Source organism: Homo sapiens, chromosome 3 (genome assembly GCF_000001405.40).
Source record: "Homo sapiens chromosome 3, GRCh38.p14 Primary Assembly".
Taxonomy (NCBI): Eukaryota; Metazoa; Chordata; class Mammalia; order Primates; family Hominidae; genus Homo; species Homo sapiens.
Window position 1 is genome coordinate 120,812,078 of NC_000003.12, and position 25,817 is coordinate 120,837,894.

A 25,817-nucleotide genomic window follows, 5' to 3' on the forward strand; every position below is an offset into this window, starting at 1 on the left:
CTTTTCAAATTGCTTTTTAATTGAAGTATATGTACTTTTAAGTGGAAAATTCAGAGTGTGTGTGTGTCTGTGTGTGGGCACACATGCACATGCAAGAGACTGCTATGGTTCTTCTCAAACATTTTTCTGCAAAATGTCTTATAATATAACATACTGCTCTAATGAGATTGCTTTTTCAAATGCAAATAATGCCCCGAATTCCTCAGAAGAAATGGAGTTTCTTTCCCTGCACTATCAGACTAATTACAATTATTTTGTTACAATAGCTCTTCCTTGAGCAAAACCTTGCTCATTCTTCCTGCCTTCAGCAACTTGAGGATAAGGAGATAAGTCTGTTTCCTGGGTTGGTGGGTAACCCAATGAGCAGAATCTTAAGGAAGAGGAAGAAGAATAGTGGAAATTTAGCCCAAATTCAGTGGAAATCCAGGCTTCTTTCCTTCAACTGTGGCCTCAATGCATCCTCTACTCTTCGATCTCTGTAAGCCTCAGCCTTCACATTTCTTTGATAAATTCAGGATTCTAAAACTTCTGGTCCAAGTTCCTGCTTTCATTTTCAGCAAATGGCACTGGCATCATTCCTCACGATTCTGCTCTTTCAAAGTCTTCCTTCACTGTAACATAGAGAGAGAAAACTGTTCTCATTCTTCTTCCCTTATTTTATCCTGTTGATCCAGATAAATAGGTACCTCTTTGTCCAAAGTTAATTCTTGCAATTTATACTCCTCCAAAATCCTGGGAGAACTTATCTCCAGATAAATCTGAAAGAGTTGGGCTATCTAGCTCTTCCTTCAAGGCCAGATTAGGTACACAATTGGAGAATAAAAACAAAATAAACAAAAACCCTGAAACAAAAATGAGCAGTCTAGGTCTTCACTAAAGTTTCTTAAGGAGATGGGGAAGGAATATACAAAACTTCCTTGAAATATATTGTTGATTTTCCTTTCTAACTCCTACTTCCTTGCCTATATCTCTTCCCTCTACTTCCCACTACCCAGTCTTTTCTTCTGGAAGTGAAATTAATTATCTGAAGCCATTTGGCTGCTATCACCTTTTCTTTCTAGTGACCCTCCCTCCTTCTCATCACATGGCACAACTAAAGCTCAACAATTAGCTGCCCAAGAAAATTTTATTTTTCTTTAGAGCTCAGGCAATTGGGTGATATACATCATTCAGCATTATAAAACAAGGATAAGAATTATACTTCATAGAGTTGTTGTGAGAATTAAATGAGATAATATATGCCAAGCTTTTAGAATAGTGACTGGCACTAGGTAATAACTCAATACATTTTAGTTCCTTTCATCTTTAGCTATTTTTCCCAGCACATAACAATTATGTTTGCTTCTCTAGCAGTTTTTATTTTGCATTTGCTCCCATTTTCTGTCCAAAACAACCTACGTTTTTGGATCATTTCCAACTATTATTTTCTTTTTTTAAAAAATGCTAAGCTTCTTGAACAGATAAGCTATCCTTTATGCCTATTTCCTCCTCAAGTCTCTGATTTCTAAGAGTTCAAAAGAAGTGAGAAGAACATGAAAAGAACATAAGCACACATTCCAATACACACTATAGCTTTACAGTGCTCTGTTATTACCAGAAGGATGATGAAAAGAAGGGAATATCAGGCTATGTGGAGTGGGCCAGAAAGACTTTAGCAGAGTTTGGAACAAGAGGAAAATAATTTTTGGCAGAGAATGGGGAAAGGCATTCAGATGGGCAAGAACTGTGGTTTGGAGCAAAAATGTAGAAATGTGTTCAGAGAACAGGAAGAGTTTTAAAACAAAGCATAATGTCTGAAATAGAGTAATGAAATGTAAAGTTATTGAACAATGCTGTTTATGATAAATAAAGAGGTAACTGGTAGAGAGCCTAAAGTGAATGCAAAAGTGTCTAGATTTAATGGAGGGAGTAAGAGTAAGACTATGTAATTCAGGCTTATAATAATAATAATTATTATTATTATTTTGAGACAGGGTCTCACTTTGTCACCCAGGCTGGAGTGCAGTGGCATGATCTCAGCTCACTGCAGCCTCGACCTCCCAGGTTCAAGTGATTCTCCTGCCTCAGCCACTCAAGTAATTGGGACTCCAGGCGCACGCCACTAAGCCCAGCTAACTTTTTTTTTTGTATTTTTTCGTAGAGATGGGGTTTCGTCATGTTGCCCAGGTTGGTCTCGAACTCCTGAGCTCAAGCGATCCGCCTGCCTTGGCCACCTGAAGTGCTAGGATTACAAGTGTGAACCACTGCACCCAGCTAGGCTTATAATTATTAATAAAGACTATGTCGGTCTTATTTTTAGAGGGCTTACTACTATGTGCGAAACATTGTGCAAGAACCTCCGAGTGGTTTTCCTGCATTTCCTCTTGTTCTAATTCTTTCCTCAACATAACAGCAACAGTAATTTTTTAAAAATGCAAATCTGATCATGTTATTGACTCCTCCATATCTTTCTTAAAATCCTTCACCAGCTTCCCTTTGCTCTTAAGATAAAGATCAAAATCCTAACATATCCCTACTAGGCCCTACTGTATCTGGCTCCAGCCTCTTCAGCTTCAATTCTTGTTCTCTTTTTGTCCCTTAAAACAAACACTGCCGTCTCCTGGCTTGGTGCTTCACACGTGTTCTTTCTTAATCCTGGACAGCTCCTGCCTACACCTCTGGGTCTGGTTTACACTGCCTCGTCCTCCACATCTGCGAGAAACTTTGTCAGGAAAGCCTAGGCAACCTCTCCTATTGCTTCCTTCACAGTGTGGACAGCTATGGGGGTACACCAAGAGGATGTCCCTTCAAGACCTTGCCATTCAGCTGAAAGGAGTGCAGACGACTAACTGCCTCCAGCCGTTAGTGTCTCAGGGCCTGCCTCAGCCACACTCTTCTGGAGCAGCCCCAGTGTCGTGGCTGGACGTAGTAAGGGGACTAGCATCTGATCATTTCTATCCAACTGGGATTCCTCTATTAGACAATCTTTGTTTCCAAGTCTCTCTTTGATTGGCCAAGACTTTGACAACAGCATTGCAGTCTGACGCTCATTCCTGCCCAATCCTGCTTCTTCCACCCTTAATTTTTCTCGGACATTAACCCCCAATGAATCTTGTATGCTTCTGACTCTTTCTCTGAATCTAACTCTGCAGAACCCAATGACACATAGCATTTACCATGATTGCAATCTATAAATTTATTTATGTAATACCTAGTAAATATTGGCACCACACTGCAAATTTATGAGAGGAGAGACCACATCAACAACTCAAAGTTGTATCCTTAGTTATCTTCCAAAATGCTTGATACATAGAATATCTCAAAAAATATTTGTGGAAAAAAAGTGAAGAATTTTTAGATGAACTATCTCACTAATTCTTTGAGAAATATACTATCATTATGCCATTTTAAAGGTGGGGAAACTGAAGGAGAGAGATTAACTTGCCCAAATTTGAATCCAGGTGTGTCTGATTTCCAAGATCTTCTTCTGAATCTCTACTTAATTTTCTTCCTGAGTAGGTGAACAAGAGGTTCAGAATGGCCCATCAGCTAGGACCCTTGGGTTTTTACCTTTCTAGGTTTTTCTTTTATCAAACACTGTGAGCTTGATTTGGAAAAGGATCTTAATTCATTTCTGTATTTCTAATAATGCCTGGCACATAAAAGTGCTTGCTCAGTGTGTAGTGAACTGGATGAGCAGTGGAGGACAGAAATGATGCTTGAAGTAGATGATTCTTGCTGGTCTCTATAGACTCTACTGCTTCTCAAGAAGAACTGATGTCCAGGACAGCTGGAGTATAGCTTTATTTGATAACAACTCCTCTCCTCCATATCTAAGGCTATATGGCAGCTTTTCTCTGTAAAGAATTTCCATTTGTGCTGCAAAAAGAAATCAGTGGACCTGAGCACCAATCATTTTCCTCTTGCCTTCAGAGTTATGATGCACTTGATGCAGCTAGGAATGAATTATTGCAGCAGAGCTTGGAAGGAATGTTAAAGAAAGATTTAGCCTATTTATTTTGTAAAGGGAAGAAATTGAGGTCCAGAGATATAAAGCAAGCCAAGATGGAACTGGAACGAGATCTCCTGTCTCTCCTTTACTGACTTCCAGCCTACAGAAGAAATTAAGAATCTTCATTTTACTTCCTAGCAGTAAGGCTAAACTTTGCCTCAGAGAGAGTCATGCAGCCACCTTTTGCTGGGATGTGACCCAGGAAAGAGGTATGGGCTGTGGCAGGCATAGAAGATTCTAGAATCACAGTACTGTGCAAGAATCAGTATTTCCTAGACAAGTACAACTTCTGACAATAAGATATACTCACTGGAAAAATAAGTGTAATTGCTTGACTACGGAGTTACCTAATCTAGTTTGGATCTTATTGTTGGAAAGTCTGATCAAATTTGAGTTCTCCTGTATGACTTTCTCAAATCTTTAGTGGTTCTAGCCTAAAGCAATCACTACTCTCTTCCAAGGAGTGCTTACCACTGCTCTGACATTGAGTCTCTTTCTTTGTGAATATTTGTAACTTCCTGGTGTATTTTTATGTTATAAATTTAAAAGGAGGCAAAAATAGGCATATGTCCTGGCAGAGGTCATACCACTTCAATATTAGGACCAGTCTCTCTTTATTTACAAGGGTCAAGGCAATTCTCAGGCTAAGAGAGATGGACCAGGCAGCCTCAGTTCTCTCCTGGCCACTGGTCCTCCCTGGTACCCGTCAGCCTGCCAGGAGCTGGTGCTGCAACTCTGTCTTAGTGCCCATCATTCTCCTGGTTGGCTAGGAGGCCCTGCTGGGTTTGGAGAGGATCAGGGCGCAAGGCCAGGCAAGATGAGAGGCCACAGAAAAGATGTGAAGAAAAAAAAATCCTGCAAAATGCATCAAAACAGTACTGAAAGTAAACCTTGGCTGTGGACTGAGGATTGGCAAGAAAGTGAAGTAGCCCTGTTCAAGGTCAGAGCAGCGTGAACATTCTCAAGCTGGAAGCTGAAATCAATTTTTCTTCCCTTTCAGTCTGGCAGCTGCATATGGTGGGTACGTCAGAAGCTAGAACACTAAGAATCAACCCTGGCAACAGTAACACTAGGAAAAGGCAAAAGGGCCCACAGACAAAGGACTGGGGCCAAAAGAGGCATTGATCCTTGCTGTTAGGCCCCTTGCTAACAGGGCAGAGCTGGTCCATGGCCTATGAAGGCATCATGGGAGTATGGACTCTTGTGGGTTCCTAGTTTTATCATAATTAGTTTTTCATGAAATTGTTTTTTAAAATAATTCTTTAAAATAATTATATGTCCTCGTAGCTAAGGCCATGTTTTGATGACAGTGGGAATAAGAAGAGACTGTTCCTCTGTTATGAGGCTTAAAATTCAGGACAGGGAAGCTGCTGCACTTCTGATCAGTCAGTTCTTGCCAAGATGGGTCCAAAGATTTTGGATCAATGGAGCACAGAGGAAGGGAGGTAGGGAATGTAGGGAAATCAAGCTCCTTTTCTGTCTCTTCTGCCTCACTGCTCTGTGGAGTGCATAAGGGTGAAGGTAATTTAAGGATGGAAAAGGAAGCAAGGGAAAACACTGTCCAGTGAACAAAAATATCACAGAATAAGAATTTTTAGAGATAGAAGAAAATCCATATTTTGAAAATTTAAATGTGATAGATTCTCACACGTTTATAGCTTATATAGATCTGGAAATGAACAAGTAAACTGAGAAGGGAAAGGAGGAGAGAACACGTTGTCCAGAACAAGGTCGGCTGTAGGCAGATCTGACAGCCTCCGCAATGGAGAAGACAGAGGAGATGCGGTGGAGCCTAACAGTCTTCCTTTTGCACATTTAAAGTCAACTAACATTTGTTGAGCACCTTTTAGGTGCCAGGTATTGTGCTGGACCCTGGACATTTAGAAGCTAATAAGTTATACCATTATAACATTTTAGAGAATAAGGTAGATCTGTTCATAGACAACCTCAAAACAAGGCATAATGTGACAGATTCAATAGAGATAGAAGCTGTATGCTACAGGAAGACAGAAGAGGCTAAGAGTGATTCTGTCTAGTAGATAACAGAATCCTTTAAGGAGGAGGGGTCATTTGATCTAAAAATTGAAAGATGAAAAATTGAAAGATGATTTTCTTTTCTCTTTCTTTGCTCTGTAAATTGATGTTTTATTTGAATAGGTAAATTCATTAACTTAAGAACATTAAATCCCTTCACTTTGCACTAAAACAACAGCAGCACAATATGTATGATGAATTCCTGGGGATATTATCATTCTGTATCAGAGCTCAGGTTCACATTTGATTGTTTCAATAGCAGTGCAAAGGGTCTTTTTTTAAAAAAAATTTTTACTCTAAGTTCTGGGATACATGTGCAGAACGTGCAGGTTTGTTACATAGACATGCATGTGCCATGGTGTTTTGCTGCACCTATCAACTGGTCATCTAGGTTTTAAGCCCCGCATGCATGCATTAGGTATTTGTCCTAATGCTCTCCCTCCCTTGCCCCTGCCCCCGCGACAGGCCCCGGTGTGTGATATTCCCCTCCCTGTGTCCATGTGTTCTCATTGTTCATCTCCCACTTATGAGTGAGAACATGTGGTGTTTGGTTTTCTGTTCCTGTGTTAGTTTGTGCAAGGGGTCTTATGAAAACAGGAGAATGCAGAGCCAGAGAAAACCTAACAAGCTACAGTAAGAAATAGAAACTTCTCCAGGGAAAATGACAACCCATTATTTTAGAAAAGGAACATTGCCCTTTCCCCAATAATATGCAGCTACTGCATCCTTGTGATTGTAGATCAGATTATATTTATAACCCACTGTTACAGTGAAATCCACAATTTTACTGCACGTGAAATTGCTTAAGACCATAGGAAGTATTAAAGTCAGAGACTGGATCACTTCATTCAGGTGTTTTAATCAGAGGTCAGCAAACTTTCTGTAAAAGCCCAGATAACAAATATTTTCAGCTTTGCAGACCACATGGTCTATGTTGCAACTATTTGACTCTGCCATTATAGCATGAAAGCAGCCACAGACAAGATGTAAATGAATGAAAGTGGCTGTGTTCTAATAAAGCATTATTTACAAAAATAGCTGGATTTGATCCTAGAGCCATAGTGTTCCAAGCCCTGCTTTTACTCATCACTTTAAAGTGACTCTTCCCCATTCCTGCTACACTCTCACTTCTGCAACATGAAGGGCAGTGGAGGTATCCATTAAGAGCATAGCTCTCCTTTCCAACCCCACGTTAGTATTTTTCAACCAATAGTTAATTTCCTTTTTATATTTAAGAATCACAACATTCTATCCCGGCTGGGTGCAGTGGCTCACGCCTGTAATCCCAGCACTTTGGGAGGCTGAGGCGGGAGTATCACTTGAGGTCAGGAGTTGGAGACCAGCCTGGCAAACATGGTGAAACTCTGTCTCTACTAAAAATACAAAAATTAGCTGGGCATGGTGGTGCATGCCTATAATCCCATCTACTTGGGAGGCTGAGGCAAGAGAATAACTTGAACCTGGAAGGTGAAGTTTTCAGTGAGCTGAGATCACGCCACTAAACTCCAGCCTAGATGACAGAGTGAGACTCCGTCAAAAAAAAAAAAAAATTCTATCCTTACTCTTTCACATAAATTTATACCTCCATTTTTTTTTCTACATCTATCCAGGCATATCTCAATCGTCACATGGATTAATCTTTCCTTATCCTTAGCAACTACTGTGGCTAAGCTGCTCTGGAAACAGAATTCCAGAGCTCCATTCTGAAATGTCGCACAGATTGCTAGTTGTTTACCTCAATATCTATTCTTCTCTTTCCATAGTTATATAACTCCCAATATTTATCTAGGCACACAGCCACCCAGAATATAGACATTTCCCACTCTCTTTGCAGCTAAGATTAAGTTCTAGCTAATGTGACATAAGCAGAAAGATTGTGCAGCACCTTCCAGGAAACAGTTTGAAAATGTAGTCACTGAGTGCCTTCTCCCCTTCTTCTTCATCTCTTTCTCCATTATGCAACCTGGAAAAAGGAGGTGATGACTGAACTCTAGCTGCCATCTTGGACCATGAATATGGACTTTGTCATAGGATGTCAAAACAGAGAGCTGGAGGAAGCATTAATATTAAGGATTGTGGATTCTCATGCTAGCCCTGGACCACCTTACTTTTTATCTGATAGAAAAATAAACTGCTCTGTTTAATTCACTGTTATTTACAGTCATATCTATTCCTAACGAATACATTAAGTTACTTTAAAATTTTTATTTTTATTTTTATGTTTTTTGAGACAGAGCCTCGCTCTGTTGCCCAGGCTAGAGGGCAGTGGTGTGATCTTGGCTCACTGCAACCTCTGCCTCCTGGGTTCAAGCAACTCTCCTGCCTCAGCTTGCCGAGTAGCTGGGACTACAGGCATGCTCCACCACACCTGGCTAATTTTTGTATTTTTAGTAGAGATGGGGTTTCACCACGTTGGCCAGGCTGGTCTTAAACTCCTGACCTCGTGATCCACCCGTCTTGGCCTCCCAAGTCCTGGGATTACAGGCATGAGCCACTGCACCTGGCCCTTTAACATTTTAAATAAGGATTTTTTTTTAAACAAAGGCTGAGATGAGCTTCATTATAGTTCTTAAAATAATGACTATTTTAGAAAACAGTAATCATCTTACATTTTAAATCATTGGATATTTATGTTTGTTAAATGTGGCAAAATAGAGCATGAGAGTTGTCTATGTGAATTTATTGGGCTTTTGTACTATAGCTTTAAAATATTCATTGCTTTTTATGAATTCAAATAACAAATAGAGGCAACTGAGAAACATTTACTATGTTAAGTAAGCCTGGGATGTACAGCCTGCCTGGTTCTCTTAGCAACAGTTGTTGAGGCAACAGGGCAAAGGTTGTGCTATATAACCAGGTTAACTGGACACCGTCAGGTTGCTGAACAGAGCAGTTCCTCTCAGAAGGGCTGAAGGTGGCGAGGCAACATAAATACATCTGCAATTCATTCATTGCCCATTTACACTCTAGGCTTGCAATCATCTGCAGCAATCCCCCTATCCACACCCTACAACCGGCAGTCAAGCTTGAACTATTTGGCTAGCTTCTTGTGGATTATAGGCTATGTGATAGCACCAGTAGTTCCCATAGGTAACAGTTTACATTCTTGATTCTTTGGAGAGGAACTTGCTGTTGGTCACCAATCACACTGCCTGAGTTTTCACACTGCTGTAGGAGTTCCCTATGAGGGGAGGCCCTACAGAACAATCCTTTCCTGCTCATTAACCCACTTCTGGGCAGCATAATTTGTCTTTTTTTTTTCTTTACACTCAGCATGGGCATACCATGCCAGGTTGATTTGTAAGACACAGGACAGATGCAAAAAGGATTACCTACAAGGCTGTAAAATGGCCCTGTGTTTCTCTATCTGCTGCTAGCTGGGCAACCTGGAAGCAAAGATTGTTCTTTTCTTCTTGCACTTTACCTTAGAAAATAAAAAGTAATAAACCACAATTCTTTACTTTCATTGCTCAGAAATGCTTTAAGGCAGTGGCCACAAGATTCCTGAAATACTTGTCTTTCAAGGGCCCAAGATATCCCAGCCCCTGGTTTTTCATCTTTCCAGCCTTAGCTCCACATACTCTACACTACTGTATTCTCATACTAGAATGAGATGCTACTGCCCTTCATCCTGCTAACAGGACACACCCAGTGCCACATTTTAATTGGACCTATTATGTAACACCCTATTCCTGGTATCAATTTCAGGTTTAGTTAAGTTCCTTTGGTTGCAAGGAACAGAGACAAATGGGGTGAGGGGGTAGCTATTCTAAGGATATACTTGAACTATAATCGAGCCTGAAAATCTGGTGAGAGCCAAAGCAATTTAGAAAATAACTGCTTTTTTGAATTTTCTCAGGGACATATGGCTTCTCTAAATAATATCATCTCTGTGACTTTCTTGTTTCTCCTGATTGCTTTTTCTTCATTCATTCACAAATATTTATTGATGTGCAGGGTACTGCTCTATGTACCAAGAATGAAGTGTTGAAAAAAAATAGACAAAATCATGGAGTTCAGACTTTAATAGAAAGAGACAGGCAACAAACAGATGATAAATATATAATGCCAAGCAGCAATAAATGCTGTGGAGAAAAATAAAGCAGGGAAAGAAAATAGGGAATAGCAGGATGCTATTTTAGATAGGATAATCAGAGAAAGTCTCTCCAAGAAGGTAAAATTTGAGTACAGACCTGAATGAATTGAGAGAGGAAGCCACAGGGCAACAGTGTTCCTGGTGGAGGAAGCAGCAAGTGCAAAGACCCTAAGGCAAGAATATGCTTGTTGTGTTGGGATCAACACCAAAATCAGTTAGGGATGGAGTGCTGAGAGCAGAGGGAAAATTCATGGATAATAGAGTCAGAAAGGTATCCAGGGATCCGATTAAGTAAGGCCTTGTAGGGTCTGGTAAAAACAGTCATATGTTAAATTTGAATTATTTATTAACATGACGCAGGATTGAAAAATTAAAAGCATGTGATCTGGGACCAGATTCGCTTAGGTTAATCTCTTGGTTCTGCCAATTTCTAGCTGTGAGATATTTTGCCTCAGTTTCTTCTGCGAAGTGAGTATATTAATAGCTTCTGTCTCATGGGGTTGTTGAAACTATTAAATGAGTTATTTACAAATAAAAGCATGTAGAACAGTGGTTAGAAAGCTATGCCTTGTGGGCCAATCCTGTTCATTATTTATTTTTTATGGCCAGAAGGATGCTAAGAATGTTTTTTTGTTTTACATTTATAAATGGATTAAAAATAAAAGCTATTTCTTACTTTATTTATTAATTTTTTTAAATCAGGCAGCCTCCCAAGCCAGAATAGGCTCAGAGACTCTCAAAATACTATTTCTTGACTTATGAAAATTATATCAAATTCGAATTTCAGTGTCCAAAAATAAAAGTTTTTTTTTTTTGATACACAGACATACTAATTCATTTACATGTTGTCTATGGATGTTTTCATACTATAACAGCAGAGTCAAGTAGATGTGACCAAGGCTATAAGGCCTACAAAACGTCAGATATTTACTATCTAGCCATTTTTAGAAAAAGTTTGTTGACCTCTGATATAGAACATCGACAGGTTTGAAAACACTCGATACTTGTCAGCTGTAAGCTTTAGTAGATAGTTCAGTTACTGCTCAGTCTCTACTCTTTTCTAAAGGTACATTTCACACAGTCCACACTGGCCTCAATTCTGTGTCATTGCTTTGCATTGTGCTCACCATGGCTTCCCAATCGCAGCATGATCTGGCTTCTGTCTCCCTCTCTGATCTCATCTTTCCCTCTTACTCACTCTGCTCCAGTTGCCCTGGCTGTCTGTCAGTTCTGGGAATCTGCTGAGAATTTCCTTCCTTGGGGTCTTTGCAATTGCTTCTCCTTATATTTGGAACATTCTTTCCCCAACTATACACAAATCTGAATCTCTATCATTCTTCAGATCTCAGTTTAAATATCACATCTCAGATAGCCCTTCCCAAACCACCTTACATAAAGTGTCCCTCCCCCTTGCTGTTCCTTATCCAAATACTTTATTTACTTCATTCATGGCAATAATAATCATCTGTCGTTCTTTCATCTATTTATTTGTTTCATTGCTTTTTGTCCTCTTTCCCACTAGAATGTTAGTTCCTTGAAGACAGGGACTTTATGTTTTTAATTCTTTGTTATAATATAGTACTGCACTCCATAAGTATTTGTTGGATTAATGAATGATATTTTTGCTTCAACTCTCATGGCGAAGTACACTAATTCTCTTGTTTGTTTATTTGTTTTTCTCCTACTGTCATACCAAGGAAAATGATTTATTTTATCTTTTTCTCAAGGCTATGTCACAGGTCACTGGCTGGGCTATTGTTTGGCTGACTTTGGTCAGATAGCCTTCCCTGGTCTAATGAACTATGGCCAGGAGTTGGGAATGAGGTGGCATCACAAGGGACAAATTAGCTCCTTTCAGCAGGACCTATGGACAGATAGCACAAAGTGGGGTGCAATCAGGAAAGAGCTTTGTGCTTTCTCTTTATTGCCTGTACTCTCTGCTGTTACATCTTCCTCTGCTCTCAGATGAAATCTTGGGTAGAGCTCATATCTTATATGCTTACAATTAGACAATAAAATCTGTCTCCTCTGGTCACTTGATTTCCTAAAACAGCCTTAGTTCAATAATTAATATATCTAGTTCACTGTAATAGTAAAAATTTTGAAATTCATTCAAAGTTACATCTTTTTCTTTTCCCTAATTTGGACCTGCTTCAACTGGAAGCTTGCTGTGCAGTTGGGTGTGGATGGGAGCACGTGGGTTGTTTCCTTTCCTTCTTCCCCACTCACTAGGTTCTCTCTGGCTCCTTTAATATTGAAGTACAGGAAGGCACCAGAGGTGTGGGATAGCAAAAGTCTGACTAGCACCACTTTAGTGGTCTTAATTTCCTCTAGCTATGGCAGAGATGCAAGCAAAGCATCTAGTGGTACTGTTGTGACCTCCTCAAACATTCCCCTGGGGGGTCACTCAACCGTTCCCTCCTCCCCTGGCTGCAACTTCCATACCCATTGACACTTCTGAGCCTCTTTCTGCTGAAGATTGTCTTATCCCCCTCTGAAAATCCTCCTGGGCACTCTCCAAACAAGTTCCAGACCAGCAGCCTTTCTTCTGTGTTTCTCACAACTGATCCATGGCACACAAGCACCTTAGCCCTATTGTTAGCAGTGACCTAGTTACCTACCAACAAGACAGTGCTCTGTCTTGCTAGCTCAGGTTACTTCAGGCAGCCTTTAACCCTTTAGATTTCTCGTGATTTGACCTGGAGACACATACTGAATTCTCTGATGCTGTCCTTGACACTCCTGTCACTGGGATTGGGGTACTATGGGGGGGCTCCATGTTGGGGCAAAGTGAGCACAATGGAGAAGGAAAATGACACCATGGTTCCACAATTCATTCTAGAATAAAACTTTTTTTTTTTTTAATTGACAAAAACTTTCTCAGCATGTTCAACCTTATTTTTATAGGCAGGGGATGAGTGAATAACTAATGGTCATAAAGCTGTAAGCCCTGTTCTGAGGAGCTTCACCTCACTTTTGAATAGGGGATGGGTTGCCGTTCATTATCTTAGGGTTCTCAGTCGAAAAGAGACAGAATCTCGCCTACTTTTTTTTGAGACAGGGCCTCATTCTGTCGCCCAGGCTAGAGTGCAGTAGTGAGATCCTGGCTCAATGCAGCCTCAACTTCCCATACTCAAGTGATCCCCCCACCTCAGTCTCCCAAGTAGCTGGGAGCACAAACACATGACACCATGCCCAATTAATTTATTTTTATTTTTAGTAGACACAAGGTCTCACTATGTTGCCCATGCTGGGATTGAACTCTAGGCTCAAGTGACCCTTCTTTCTGCCTCAGCTTCCCAAAGTGCTGGGGTTACAGGCATAAGCCATCAAGCCTGACTCTTTTTAAACATTCTATTACATGTCTGGTACACTCTGAAACATTACATGTCTCATGCATAAAACACTCATTTTAAATCATGTGTGTAATGGTTTTTATTAATTCTATAGACTGCATCATAGACTTTTCAGTTCTGGAGGGTTTACAAAGGCCCATGGCCAAAAGGTTTTAACTTCATTTATGAGCTAACTTTGGGTCTATATCAAAGACATCATGAGTAAAAAAAAGAAAAAAAAAGGAAATTTTTGTAATAGGTTCAGGTGTTCTGAGTAGGGTGGTATAGTTTTATTGCATGGTAGATTCTACTTCTATCCCTTGAGGCATCATTTTGCAACACAGCTTATAAAGGCAGCAGAAGGTAGTTCTGCGTTTATTACTTATGTGTTGGTGGAGTGAGAAAGAACAATTTCTAATTTCTGCCAGTAAAATTCTTTTCTGTTCCTGTCTGTTGAGCTTGTTCTGGCAGTATTCATATTCTCCCTCCCCCTTTCTCCCCCTAGCCTTAACAGAGATACATTTGTGCTCATGCTGGATTGATGTAGGAAAAGTGAAAAAACTCTTCTTTTTTAAGAATCATTAATTTCTCCTAGAATTCACAAATTATGATTGAGTAGCCTACATGTCTAATTGTCTTCTCTGTTATAAAATGGAGAAAGCTTATGAAGACAGATGAAGAGTTAAATGCTTTGTGGCATTTTATCAACAGCCTGTGTCTCTTTAGCCCTCACTATTTTTTCTCTGCTCCTTTATTCATTGACCACCCTTTTCTATACTTGTTATTTTTTGAGTGTGGGTGATACTGCTCTGGATCAGAGGAGGTGCCTGATATATGTTAATAAATGAATGACTGCTTTTCTAGTAGTATCTACCTATACAAGTTTCCATGGGTACTATAACATTCAAAGGGCCTCATGTGAGGGCTGCTTGGTCAGAAAGCTGACTAGATATATGGATTTGAGGTCAAGTGGCCGTAAAACTGGAGGGATAATCGTAAAGGGGAGGTCTCTTTTCTAGTTGATGCTAATTGTCTATACACTCAACCTAAACAAAAATAGTTTGATCCACACTTTATGCTCCCAAGGGTGACCTTAACTGGCTAGGAGAAGAATAATGGTAGACTCTCACACACTCTGGCTTAAAAAAAAACATAAAAAGAGCATGGGTCATATTTTACATCACTCCCAGTTAATGCCTGAATGAACCATTGATATAGCTCTTAGGAACTCCACCCACCAACAAAGCTGTTAATATTTAGTTTTCTTTTATAGCTGATAAGGAGTTTTGTGGAAGATGATCTTTGGGAGCCCTGAGGCATCCTCATACAGAGAACTGGCTCCCTTACATTAGAGACCACACTCTTCAGTCTGAAAGAAGAGCTGCGGTAGTTCACCATGCATGCCTCTCTCTCCTTTACAAGCTCCTTCTCTGCCTTATCTTTTTAAGCTGCATGTACTTAATTACAGTAAAAACTGCCATTTATTGATCTTTTACTATATGCAAGCCACTGTGCTAAGTACTTTACATACATTATCACATTTAATCTTCCAATATTCCATCTTAAATCCTGAATTATGCTCTTTCTTTTTTCTATTCACTGTGGGGAGCTCATTTGTTCCAAAGGCTTCAGCTATCACCATCATACTTAATCTCAAAATCTGGATACATCTACATCCCCAGGTCCATATCACCAAAAGCTCAGTCGGTGTTTTCCCATGGATGACTTGCCATCACCAGTCTTGACTTCAACATCTCAGAAACTCTTCCCACTCTCCTCTTCTGCCTTATTTCTTTGTGTATTAAATTGTCATATTTGCCATAAGCCAGATTTAAATCTTGCAGTTATTTTGATTAATATATAGGTATCTATATGTGATATAGATACATATCCCTCTAAATATATATCTATACATGGTGTATATACATATAATATATGGAGAAAGAAGCAGACAGAGAGAGAGAGAGAGAACAAGTCCTGATGATTTTTCTTCCCTCTGTCCCTCCATCACAATGCTACTTCAGGCCTCCTCACTTCACATACGAATTACTTCAACTGACAGTAGGGGCCTCCATGATTCTAGACACTGCTCTTAGATGCATTTCACCACCACCCTTGGCTGCTCTTCTACACACCCTTTGAGGTGTTGCCATTGAGGCCCATTGAGTTGAATCCACATCCTTATTTTGGCTGTACTTATTTAACTCTATCCATGCCATCTCTCTTTCTTTTTTTTTTTAAAATATGGGCTGGACGCGGTGGCTCATGCCTGTAATTCCAGCACTTGGGGAGGCCGAGGTGGGCGGATCACCTGAGGTCAGGAGTTCAAGACCAGCCTGGTCAACATGGAGAAACCCTGTCTCTACTAAAAATACAAAAGGCGTGATGGCGCATGCCTGTAATCCCAGCTATTCAGGAGGCTGAGGCAGGAGAATCACTTGAACCCGGGAGGCGGAGGTTGCAGTGAGCCAAGATCGTGCCATTGCACTGAAGCCTGGGCAACAAGAGCAAAACAAACAAACAAACAAAAAACAAATAAACGAAAAGGTTGTCTCTGCCCTAATCAAGCCCAGAGTCATCTGTCACCTTCAACTGGAGGTCTCTGTTCATAAGTTTCCCTTCACCTACAGTTTTCTCCCTCTTATTTTTTTGGATGAAAAATCCATTCAGAGTTGAATGATTTTCTTGAGGTCGAATTGCAAGCACTTGACCTGGATTTAAACCTATTCTAATCCTCAAGACTGTGCTTGCTTTCCTCAGTGACAACTACTTGTTTCAGAATAAGATGAATGTAGGATGAAATTCATAGATGGAAACTCAAACTACATTTGTATAGAGTTTGCCTAATAATAAAATACTACTAGCTCAGGCCAGCATCAGCTCCTGAAGACTGTTTCCCTTGTGCTGGACCCCAGTCATGGCAAATGAAGACATTTTGACACCTCCAGCCAAATTAATCTGCAAAATATGGCTCAATTTTTAATAGCTTTCCATCTATGGTCCCTTAAAGAAAACTTCAAATTCAAAGAAAACGATAGTAAGATGCCTACAGTTTATTTCAGCCACTGAAATTCTCTACTGAACTTCAGATTCAATCATAGGAGCATTGCCCCTAGTTGTCCTATGTTTGTACTTTAAGCTGCACCCAAAGTTCCAGCATCAGTTTTTTAAAGATTCTAAAAAAGGATGATATAGCATATGTTCAAGCTGAGCAAGTTACTAGGATGCCAATAGTACGTTTCTGTAAACTTTTGATTGTGAATTTCCTAGGCAGATAGGACTTCTCTGGCTAGTTTTGCTTTTAACTAAGGACATGCCCTTTAGTTCAAATGAATATCAAAGATTATTAGACTCTGATCTGAAGTATTTCGTAAGGGTATTCATAGTGCAGAGATATGGATTTATGATCTGGCTGGTAACTTGCTGAATAACCAACAAATGTCTTTTCTCCATCTCAGTTTCCTTCTCTAATAAAGGAAGGCAACAATGGCTTCTTTCCATTCTCCCAGGGGTATCAAAGGATTAAGGATGTTGGTGAACATTATTAAAAGAGAGGTTATATTTAATTAAATGTAACACTCATAAATATAATCACATCATGGCAATAGCTGAGTTTTATTACAGGTCCATACAATGAACAGCTTTTGTTACTCATTAGTCAGCCTCATTGTTTGTCATCACCACATTGATTTCAGTCCAAAAAGCCAGATTCTCAGAAACATAAATATTAAATTTGATTTAAGCTGACAGCACTCATGGCCTTGAAAATCTTTAGGTAGAATTAGAAACTAGACAGTTGTCAAAATTTGCCTCTGGAATCTTCTACACTTTTCTAAGATTTTAGTGTTTTGGTTCCAGAGGCTGGTTGCTAATAGTAGCAGAAGATACGTCAACCTGATTTCAAACTCTCCAAGCCACGATGAAAAGCTAATCATCTGTGATGGTCACAGTAACTTCTTTCCACTGCCTTCCCAGTAAAAGAAAACCACACATTATACCACAAACTGATACTACTGACAACTCATTCTTTTATTAATTCAGCACCTACTGTGTATAAAACATTCTTTCTAATTATGGGAGGTGGGGAGAAAGTTTAATGATGAATAAGACACAATCTCTATCCCAAAGGAATTTATAATCCAACACAAATATGTTGTATTTTCAATATCATAATTTATATTTAATATCTAATAATGGAATTATTTCTCTACCTTTCTTTCTTTTTATACATCCAATAGTGTAAAAAGCTTCAGATGAATGGTTCAAAAGCTTAAGTCTTCCGACTGGCTCTGCTGTTGACCAGCTTGTTTGGTAAGTCACTTTACTTATCTGGGCTCCAGTGTTTTTTATCTGTAAATTCTGAGCTTTAAAATTCTACTCACTCCTCTAACATTCATCGGCTATTGTTGCAGTACCTACTACATACCTACTACATGCAAGGCAATGGTCTAGTTACTTGGGATGCCTTAGCTACTGAAACAGACACACATGCCTGCCCTCCTCCTCCCTCACATTCTATAGGGTAGGAAGACAAACAATGAACAGTAAACACAATAATAAATAAGTAAAATAATTTATCAGAAGGTTATAGTGCTATGGAATATTGTGCACAATGTAAGAGGGAATCAGAAGTGTGGGATGGGGCAGATTTCCAATTTTATATAGAGTGGTCAGGTGGGACTAAGGAGATGTCATTCAAGAAAAGACTTGACAATGCCCTGTCCAGTGCCCTCTAAAAAGTATTTTTTTTTTTTCTGTATGGTATGAGGGAAAAGTATTAAAGAAGTGCTGGAGCAAACACCACAGAAATAGTGTTACTGAATCAAACTGGGATCCACTCACCCAGCACAGTAAGGCCAAACATTCACACTGAGGGTTTTCAGTGGGAGAAGGGAGGGTGTTTATTTGCAAGATGCCAAGAAAGGAGAATTGGGCAGCTCATGCTTAAGATCCAACCTCTCTGATACAAGCAAGGGTTTTAAAAAGCAGGGATAAATTTCAGGAAAACAGGAAGTTACAGGCAAATTACAAATGGAGGTTATACATTGCTTTGGTCTAAAAAGGTGGATATCTTGAAGCGGGTGGTTTATAAGTCATAGGTAGAGTTAAAAGTTTCCTGATTTGCAATTGTTTAAAGAAGAGAAGCTGTGTTTAAAAATCCGGGATCAGCAGAAAGAAAGCGTAGGTCTGGCTCATGGGCATGGCTTCCTCACAGGGGTGTCCAAGGGAGAGAATACAGCCATGGGTTCCTAGTTTCTGTTTCTGGTTGAACCAGTAAAGCCCTTTCCTCATCCCTCTTTTTCACTTATCACTAGAGACAGAAACTGAAAACGGTCGCTTCAGGCTGCTAAAAGCCTAATACAAAACAAAACAGAACAACAACAACAAAATAAGGTGGGTTGGACAAGTTTGCGCCCCTCAGGAAAAACTTTAGAACAAAGAATGACTGTCAGAGTTCAGTCCTCAGTTTCTCCCTAGCTGAGGTCTATGTGCCAGTGGATTTGTTTGACAGGGGTCCAGGTCTCTAAAAAACAACTCAGGGACATATGTTAAGATGTTATCGCTAGTTTCTATATGGAACCAAACATCTCAGGGCTCTAACTTCCCTGGCTATTGTTTTAAGCTACTATTACCTCTTGCTTATCAAGTTGCTTATTTACTTTTCAGGACTAGCTAAGTACCTGGAATTTCCCTTGAAGGAACTCAAGATTTTCTTTTATTTCCTGGCTCCCTGGGGAGGGCGTGCGGGGGTAGGGGAAAAGCAGGCCCCTAAGAGGAGTCTCGACTCCATCCCAATGGCCCAGCCTTTGTTGCTTTGCTCTTGCCTTTCCTTGCAAGATACATGAAGCCAGATACATGACCTAGAACTTCTTTGTCCAATATAGTAGCCATTAGTCATGTGTGGCTATTGAGTTCTTAAAATGTGGCTAGTCCAAGTTGAGATATTCTGTAAGTGGGAAATACAAAGTGGATTTCTAAGAATGTAAATACCTCTTTAATGTTTTCATATTTATTTCATGTTGTAATGGGAATATTGTGTGCATGTTGGATTAAATAAAATATATTTTTAATTTAATTTTGTTTTTTAAGTTTTTAATGTAGCTTCCAGAAAATTTTATTTTTAAAATTTCTTGTACAGATAGGTTCTCACTATGCTGCTCAGGCTAGTCTTGAACTCCTGGTCTCAAGCAATCCTCCTGCCTCAGCCTCCCCGAGTGTTGGAATTATAGGCATGAGCCAGTGCACCTGGCCTGCTACCAAGAAAATTTAAATATGCACATAACTCACTTGATTTTTCTATTGGGCAGCACGTATCTAGAACTTGAAATGGGGGTTTTGCTATTAGCATGTATGTCACTCTTGCCTTGGTAGGTAAGTCACCTCATTCTGCTAGATGTCTTTCCTTTTGTATTCTTTAGAATTCTTTTCCCTATGGCCTCTGGGTCAAGGAATGCAAGCATAGGGCTCACATTTCTAGAATTCAGGATACTTTTGTGCTATCATTAGCATATAATTTGGGAGAGGTAGAAGAGGAAAAGGAGTTTAGGTCCTGGGATAGAATATAGGATTCAAGGGCATGTTTTAGAAACTATAAGACAGACCATGTTGATTATATTGTTATGCTAATTAGGGTACATTATTTTTATCTTTAGTGTTCATTCCTCACTTAGTGACAGAAAATGTTAGCTGTCGTAAGTGGTGAGTGAGAGTAATGCTACGATAAAATAGAAGCCATTTTCCCCACACCATAGCTAGTCGTGGATGTCAACAAACTGTGAAGGGTCAAACTAAAAATTAGGAGAAATACCTATATAAAATACAGATATCTCTTTTTTTATAGACTCAGGATATAGCATGGGACCAATTCAACATACAGTTCTAAACAATTCCCTTACTAGATTCCTGAATTTCCCCGAATCATGTTTTTGAAGGTAATCAAGGGCCAGAGAGGATACTGAAAGATTGTTCAGCTACCTTTCTTTAAGTAAGCAAAGAACTAAATCCTTCAGCTCAAGGAGTTTTTTATTCTCTTTATGATTCCCCAAGGATAGCAATAAATCTTATTGACTGAATAGAGATTCCACAGTCTCCCATAGAAGCCCATTTCAGTATTTTATCCCTCAACAGTAAAGAAAGCCTTGCTGGTGTACAACAAAATATAATATTCTTTATTCTAAGCCAATCTTCTGTTCTCTTTTTTCCTCTCCTCTCCTCTCTTTTGTCTTCTCCCCGTCCCTCCGCTCTCCTCCCCTCCCCTCCCCTCTTCTCTTCTTTTCTCCTCTTCTTTTCTCTCTCCTTCCTTCTTCTTTCTTTCTTTCTTTCTTTCTCTTTCTTTCTTTCTTTCTTTCTTTCTTTCTTTCTTTCTTTCTTTCATTTCTCTCTTTATCTCTCTCTCTCCTTTTTCTTCTCTTCTCTTTTCTTCCTTTCTTCTCTCTCTTTTCCATGGAGAACAACTGATAAGCATTAGCCTCTCAAAAATTTTTAATATACATAAGCAGTTTAAATGCAATTCATCTTTCTCTTCTTCTTTTCCCCAAATCATTAGCTGCAAAGCTCTACACAATTGCACAGTATCACTCCCTATCTTATATTTATGTTTGTGTTTCTGTTTATAAATCAACTACCTGGAGTTTTCTTTGACTTTCATCCTGTTTTATTTTCTCACTTATCAAGGTTACTATCAATGTTTTCCTTTCACTTCATCTTACCAAATAGATGTGTTCCTGGACCTACAATATCAGAATGTCATAAACCACAGCACTGCTAAAATATATGTTCCAATAAGGAACCAACAGAAATCAAGTTTCACTGAAGAACATAGAAGTGAAAAGCACAAAGAATATGGGATTGTGAGGAAATCTATAATTGAAAACCAGATAAGAGCCACTCACCACAAAACATCAGGGAAGATGAAAAGATAGAATTTATTGAAAATAAAATGATTCCTAAGTATCTGGAATTAAGTTATATAATCTGGATAATCTCAAATAATAGGCTGTTTAGAAGTCCCCTTCCCCTCCAGTTTAGAACAATTCAGTTTGAGCTCTTTTATGCAGACCAGTTTTCTTTGAGAACAATAGAGATTAAATCTTGTTCAAGTCCCAGAGGTTCTTCTCATCTTTCTTTTTCAATCAGTGCTCCCATTACTGAGTTATTCACTCTAACTGCTATTGTCTTGCTGGGAACCAAATAAAATTCTAAATGCAGGAAATATGACCCTGCTTCACTGGTCAGAAGAATCATCACTTCAATAACAATGTAGAATACTCATGAGTCAACTGCTTCCTGAGGGACCAATCATCTTGGGAAAGTGAGGGTAGAATCATATTGCCTTTTGTGACTGTGTAGGTGGGAAAGGACAATTTCTGGAAAGGTAGATGGCAACTACAGGTGTCTGATACAACTACAACTGTCTAGTTTCTTCTCTGTGTCTTTCACTGGGCTGTGAGTTCCTTGAGAGTAGCGACGGTGTCTTATTCATCTTGGGATCTCCAGCTCTCACATCAGGGCTCAAGACAAAGTAGGTATTCCATAAATAGTTGATTTTTGAATAAATAAATCTATGAATGAATGATTCAAGTTATCTATCCATGAAGAAAAACAAGTGGCAATGCCAACATTTCAAAGTAAAATTATTTATTTCTTTAAAATGCCTTAATAATAATCTAGTTTATGAATAATTCCACTCTACACTGATGAAAAAGTAGTAGAGTCCCTTTATTTTATATAAATTAGTTTGGAAAATAAATAATATGTAAAAAGAATTTTATATATAGGTATATGTACATAGATGTATGTAGATGTATTTGTATCTATCTGTCTATCTATCTGATAGTACATGGAAATGAAAACCAAGGTGATCACCAAGGAGAGTAGCAAGTGAATACTGAATCTGATTTTAACTGAGTGGTGGTCATGAATTGATGGGGGAGATGCTGAGAGCCACCCAGGCAAAGGGAAAAATCATAAACAAATGAACAAAAATGAGAATGATCAAGAGTTGAGAGAAAAATGATAAGGCTACCAATTTGGTTTGTAGTAGTATTTCTTGGTACTCTAGTACCAAGAAATGTGGAAATATTAATACACATGCATATCTATCAATTTCTTTCTTTTTGAGCCAATATGAAGTTGGAAGGAATTGGATTCTTAAGCAAAAGAATGACATGATGAAAAGGTTGTTTTGAAAGTTGTGCCAGGAAGAACTGGATGCCAGAGGAAGAAAGTTCAATTGGGAAGATACCATGATGCTGACAATGAAGCAACTAGGGCCTCCATGAGAATAATGCCTATGGGATTAGATAGGAAGAGGGATATGATGAGGACACATGTATCCTCTCTTTTTCCTTACTCAAAATCTCCAAGTTAATTTTTACTGTTTGTTGTTCCATGTATACCTCATGGCACAAAGTTCTATAGTTTGTTCTAATGAATGTTTGTTTACCTACCTCTAGGCCTCAACACTGTCTTTGGGACTTTCTTCTGAGAGGGTCTTTAGAATTGCCTTTTCTCTCTCTCACTGTCACCTTCTTTGCAGGCCAAGAAAAGGAATCTGTTCTCTCCCCAAGAGGTGTGGTCCTGCTACCTGCACTAGTGCTGGCTGGCTCTCTACCGTCGAATTTTTCTGAGTCTGGCTTCAAACTGCAACTCATCATCTGCCTCCAATTCCACAGATTAGCCTCTTCCTTCCATCCTTTCTTTATATGTCTGTAATGCTCTTTTGTTTTTGTTTTGTTTTTTTGAGACAGGGTCTCACTCTGTCACCCAGGTTGGAGTGCAGTGGTGCAATGACAACTCACTGTGGTCTCAACCTCCCCTGTTTCAGGTGATCCTCCTACCTCAGCCTCCTGAGTAGTTGAGACTATAGACACATGCCACCATGCCTGGCTAATTTTTTATCTTTTGTAGAGATGGGGTTTATCCGCGTTGCCCCAGAGCTGGTCTCAAACTCCTGGGTTCAAGTGATCCTCCCACCTCGTCCTCCCAAAGTGCTGGGATTACAGGCATGAGCCACCATACCTGGCCCACTCTTTTGGATTCTCCGGGGGTATCCTAGACCAGTGCTTCACAAATTTAAGTTGCATAGGAATCACCTGGGGGTCATTTAAAATGTAGATTCTAATTTAGTAGGTCTGGGCTGCGACCTGGGATTCTGAACTTCTAAAAGCATCCCAGGTGAAGCTGATGCTGCTGATCCATGGATCACCCTTTAAGTAGCAGGGTCCTAGTCCTAGAAGACCTGGAGACTCTCTTCTTGCAGGGGTATCCCAGCTCAGGTCTAAGTAAGCCACCTCATTCTAATGTGGTCACCACTGCATCTGCCTGGCCCAATTATGCTTCCTTTCACCCTCATTCCTGCATCCCTGAGCTTCCAACTGAACCTCCCTGGGGACTTAGCATAAGTGGAATCAACCTCATATCTGGCCACCAAACTTTAGAGGACCTCACACAGGCCCTTACTCTCAGCCTCAAGGTTTCTAGAGCAGCTCTCTGTATTCTGCTTTTCTTTTGTAGCTGTTGCCATCCCTGGAGATCTGCCCCAACTTGACCACAGAGTGGGACACAGACTCCTTAGCTCCCAGTCACATGGCCTTTTGAAGGGAAGCCCACAGGCTCTACTGGTTTTAAGGATTTTCCTTCAAGTTGTTTTGCCAAAACAATTTTTACTATACTTATAGTATAAATTATAAACATAAAGAAGTTACAAAGATTAAGGTTTTTAAAATCCTGGTACCTGTTTTACACAACTGCAGCTATCTTCCTCTGAGATGGTAAAATAGATGCCTAAAATCTTTTCTTTCTGTTATGAAAGTTCTACATTCTTCTGGGTGCCTTGTATCTGTTACCTTATGGTTTCTCCCTGCTTCTCTGGCTTTGTGACCTCACTTCTTGGTTGCTGTCCAGTATCTGACCCAGCCTCCTTATCACCCTCTCACTTCTTGGCTATTCTGACTCTGAATTTCTACTCTGGTCCTTTTCCTACTCCAAACTGCCCAAGCCACTGTTTTTCCTCCTCAAAGGAGGTGAGGAATCAGGAAACTCTGTTGGCTTGACAACAGCCTTTTAGATGTTTTAGAATGCTACCTTGCCAATATTATTTGACTTCAGTTCTGGTTCCTGACTAGTACTTTGGACCTTGCCTGTGTTTATGCTATGCCTTTGTCAACTGCCTGAGCATGCCATTAAACTGATTATTTTCTGACACTTAATTTGGACTCCTGTCCCTATCCCCATTTTCCCGTTCTAATCCACAGACCTGTAGTCAAACAAATTCTTGGCATAGAGCAATCAGGACCTTCTCACATCTGTACAAGATTTACTACAAACAAGCTGACTGTTCTTGCTCCTCTTTAAAAGAGTTGAAAAATCCAAACCGTGTACTGTATATTCAAAATAAACTGAAAGGAAATATGCATTTCTTTAAAAGTTGACCCAAGTATCTATGAACAGATGAATGGATAAAGAAAATATGGTATATATACACAAAGGAATATTATTCAGCCTTAAAAAAGAAAAAATTCTGTCATTTGCAACAACATGGATGAACCTGAAGGACATTATGTTGAGTGAAATAACCTAGGCATGTAAAGACAAATAGTTTGCGATCTCACTTATTATGTGGAATTAAAAGAAAATCAAACTCAGAAACAGAGAAAAATGGTGATTACCAGAGGCTAGGATTTGGGGGATTGGGGAGATTTTAGTCAAAGGACACAAAATTTCAGTTAGAGAGAAGGAATAAGTTAAAGAGATCTATTGTATATCATGGTGACTGTGGTTAATAATAATACATTGTACACTTGAAAATTGCTAAATTTTGTGTTTTGACCACAAAAGATACATCTGTAAGGTAATGCATATTCAAACAGCTTGATTTAGCCATTCCACAATGTATACGTGCATCAAAGCATCATATTGTATACCATAAATACATGCAATTGTGACTTGTCAATGAAAAAATAAATTAAAATGTGAAAAGTTAACTCACGATTCACAGACTGCACTGGCCTATGCATATGCTGTTTCCTCCTAACACTTTCCCCTCTGCGTTTTACATAGCTGGTTTCTTCTCATCATTTATATTTCAACTTAAACATCACCTTCCAGACTCCTTGACCCTCTAAGATGTTTCTTCCTTCTTGTTCCACTATGCTCAGATACGTTATTCTGTTTGTTTTCTGCCTAATCACTAATGGTACTTGTATACTTATTCATATCTTATTTTTATTCATATCTATTTTATTTATTTATTTATTTGAGACAGAGTCTTGCTCTGTCCCTCAGGCTGGAGTGCAGTAGCACAATCTTGGCTAATTGCAACCTCCGCCTCCTGGGTTCAGGCAATTCTCCTGTCTCAGTC

At 39.4% G+C, this 25,817-nt stretch overlaps 1 long non-coding RNA gene across 2 annotated transcripts; it reads right to left on the minus strand.

Moving 5' to 3' along the window:
* Positions 1 to 103: 103 nt before the first annotated feature.
* LINC02049 (long intergenic non-protein coding RNA 2049) lies at positions 104 to 24,280 on the minus strand. 2 transcript variants are annotated; one of them, NR_135570.1, is made up of 2 exons: positions 24,192 to 24,280; positions 104 to 611 (listed from the first exon to the last, which is right to left on the minus strand). It is a non-coding gene; the product is annotated as a long intergenic non-protein coding RNA 2049 (long non-coding RNA). The 2 variants fall into 2 exon arrangements; NR_135571.1 differs by lacking the exon at positions 104 to 611 and adding an exon at positions 21,363 to 22,017.
* Between the last annotated feature and the right edge of the window lie 1,537 nt (positions 24,281 to 25,817).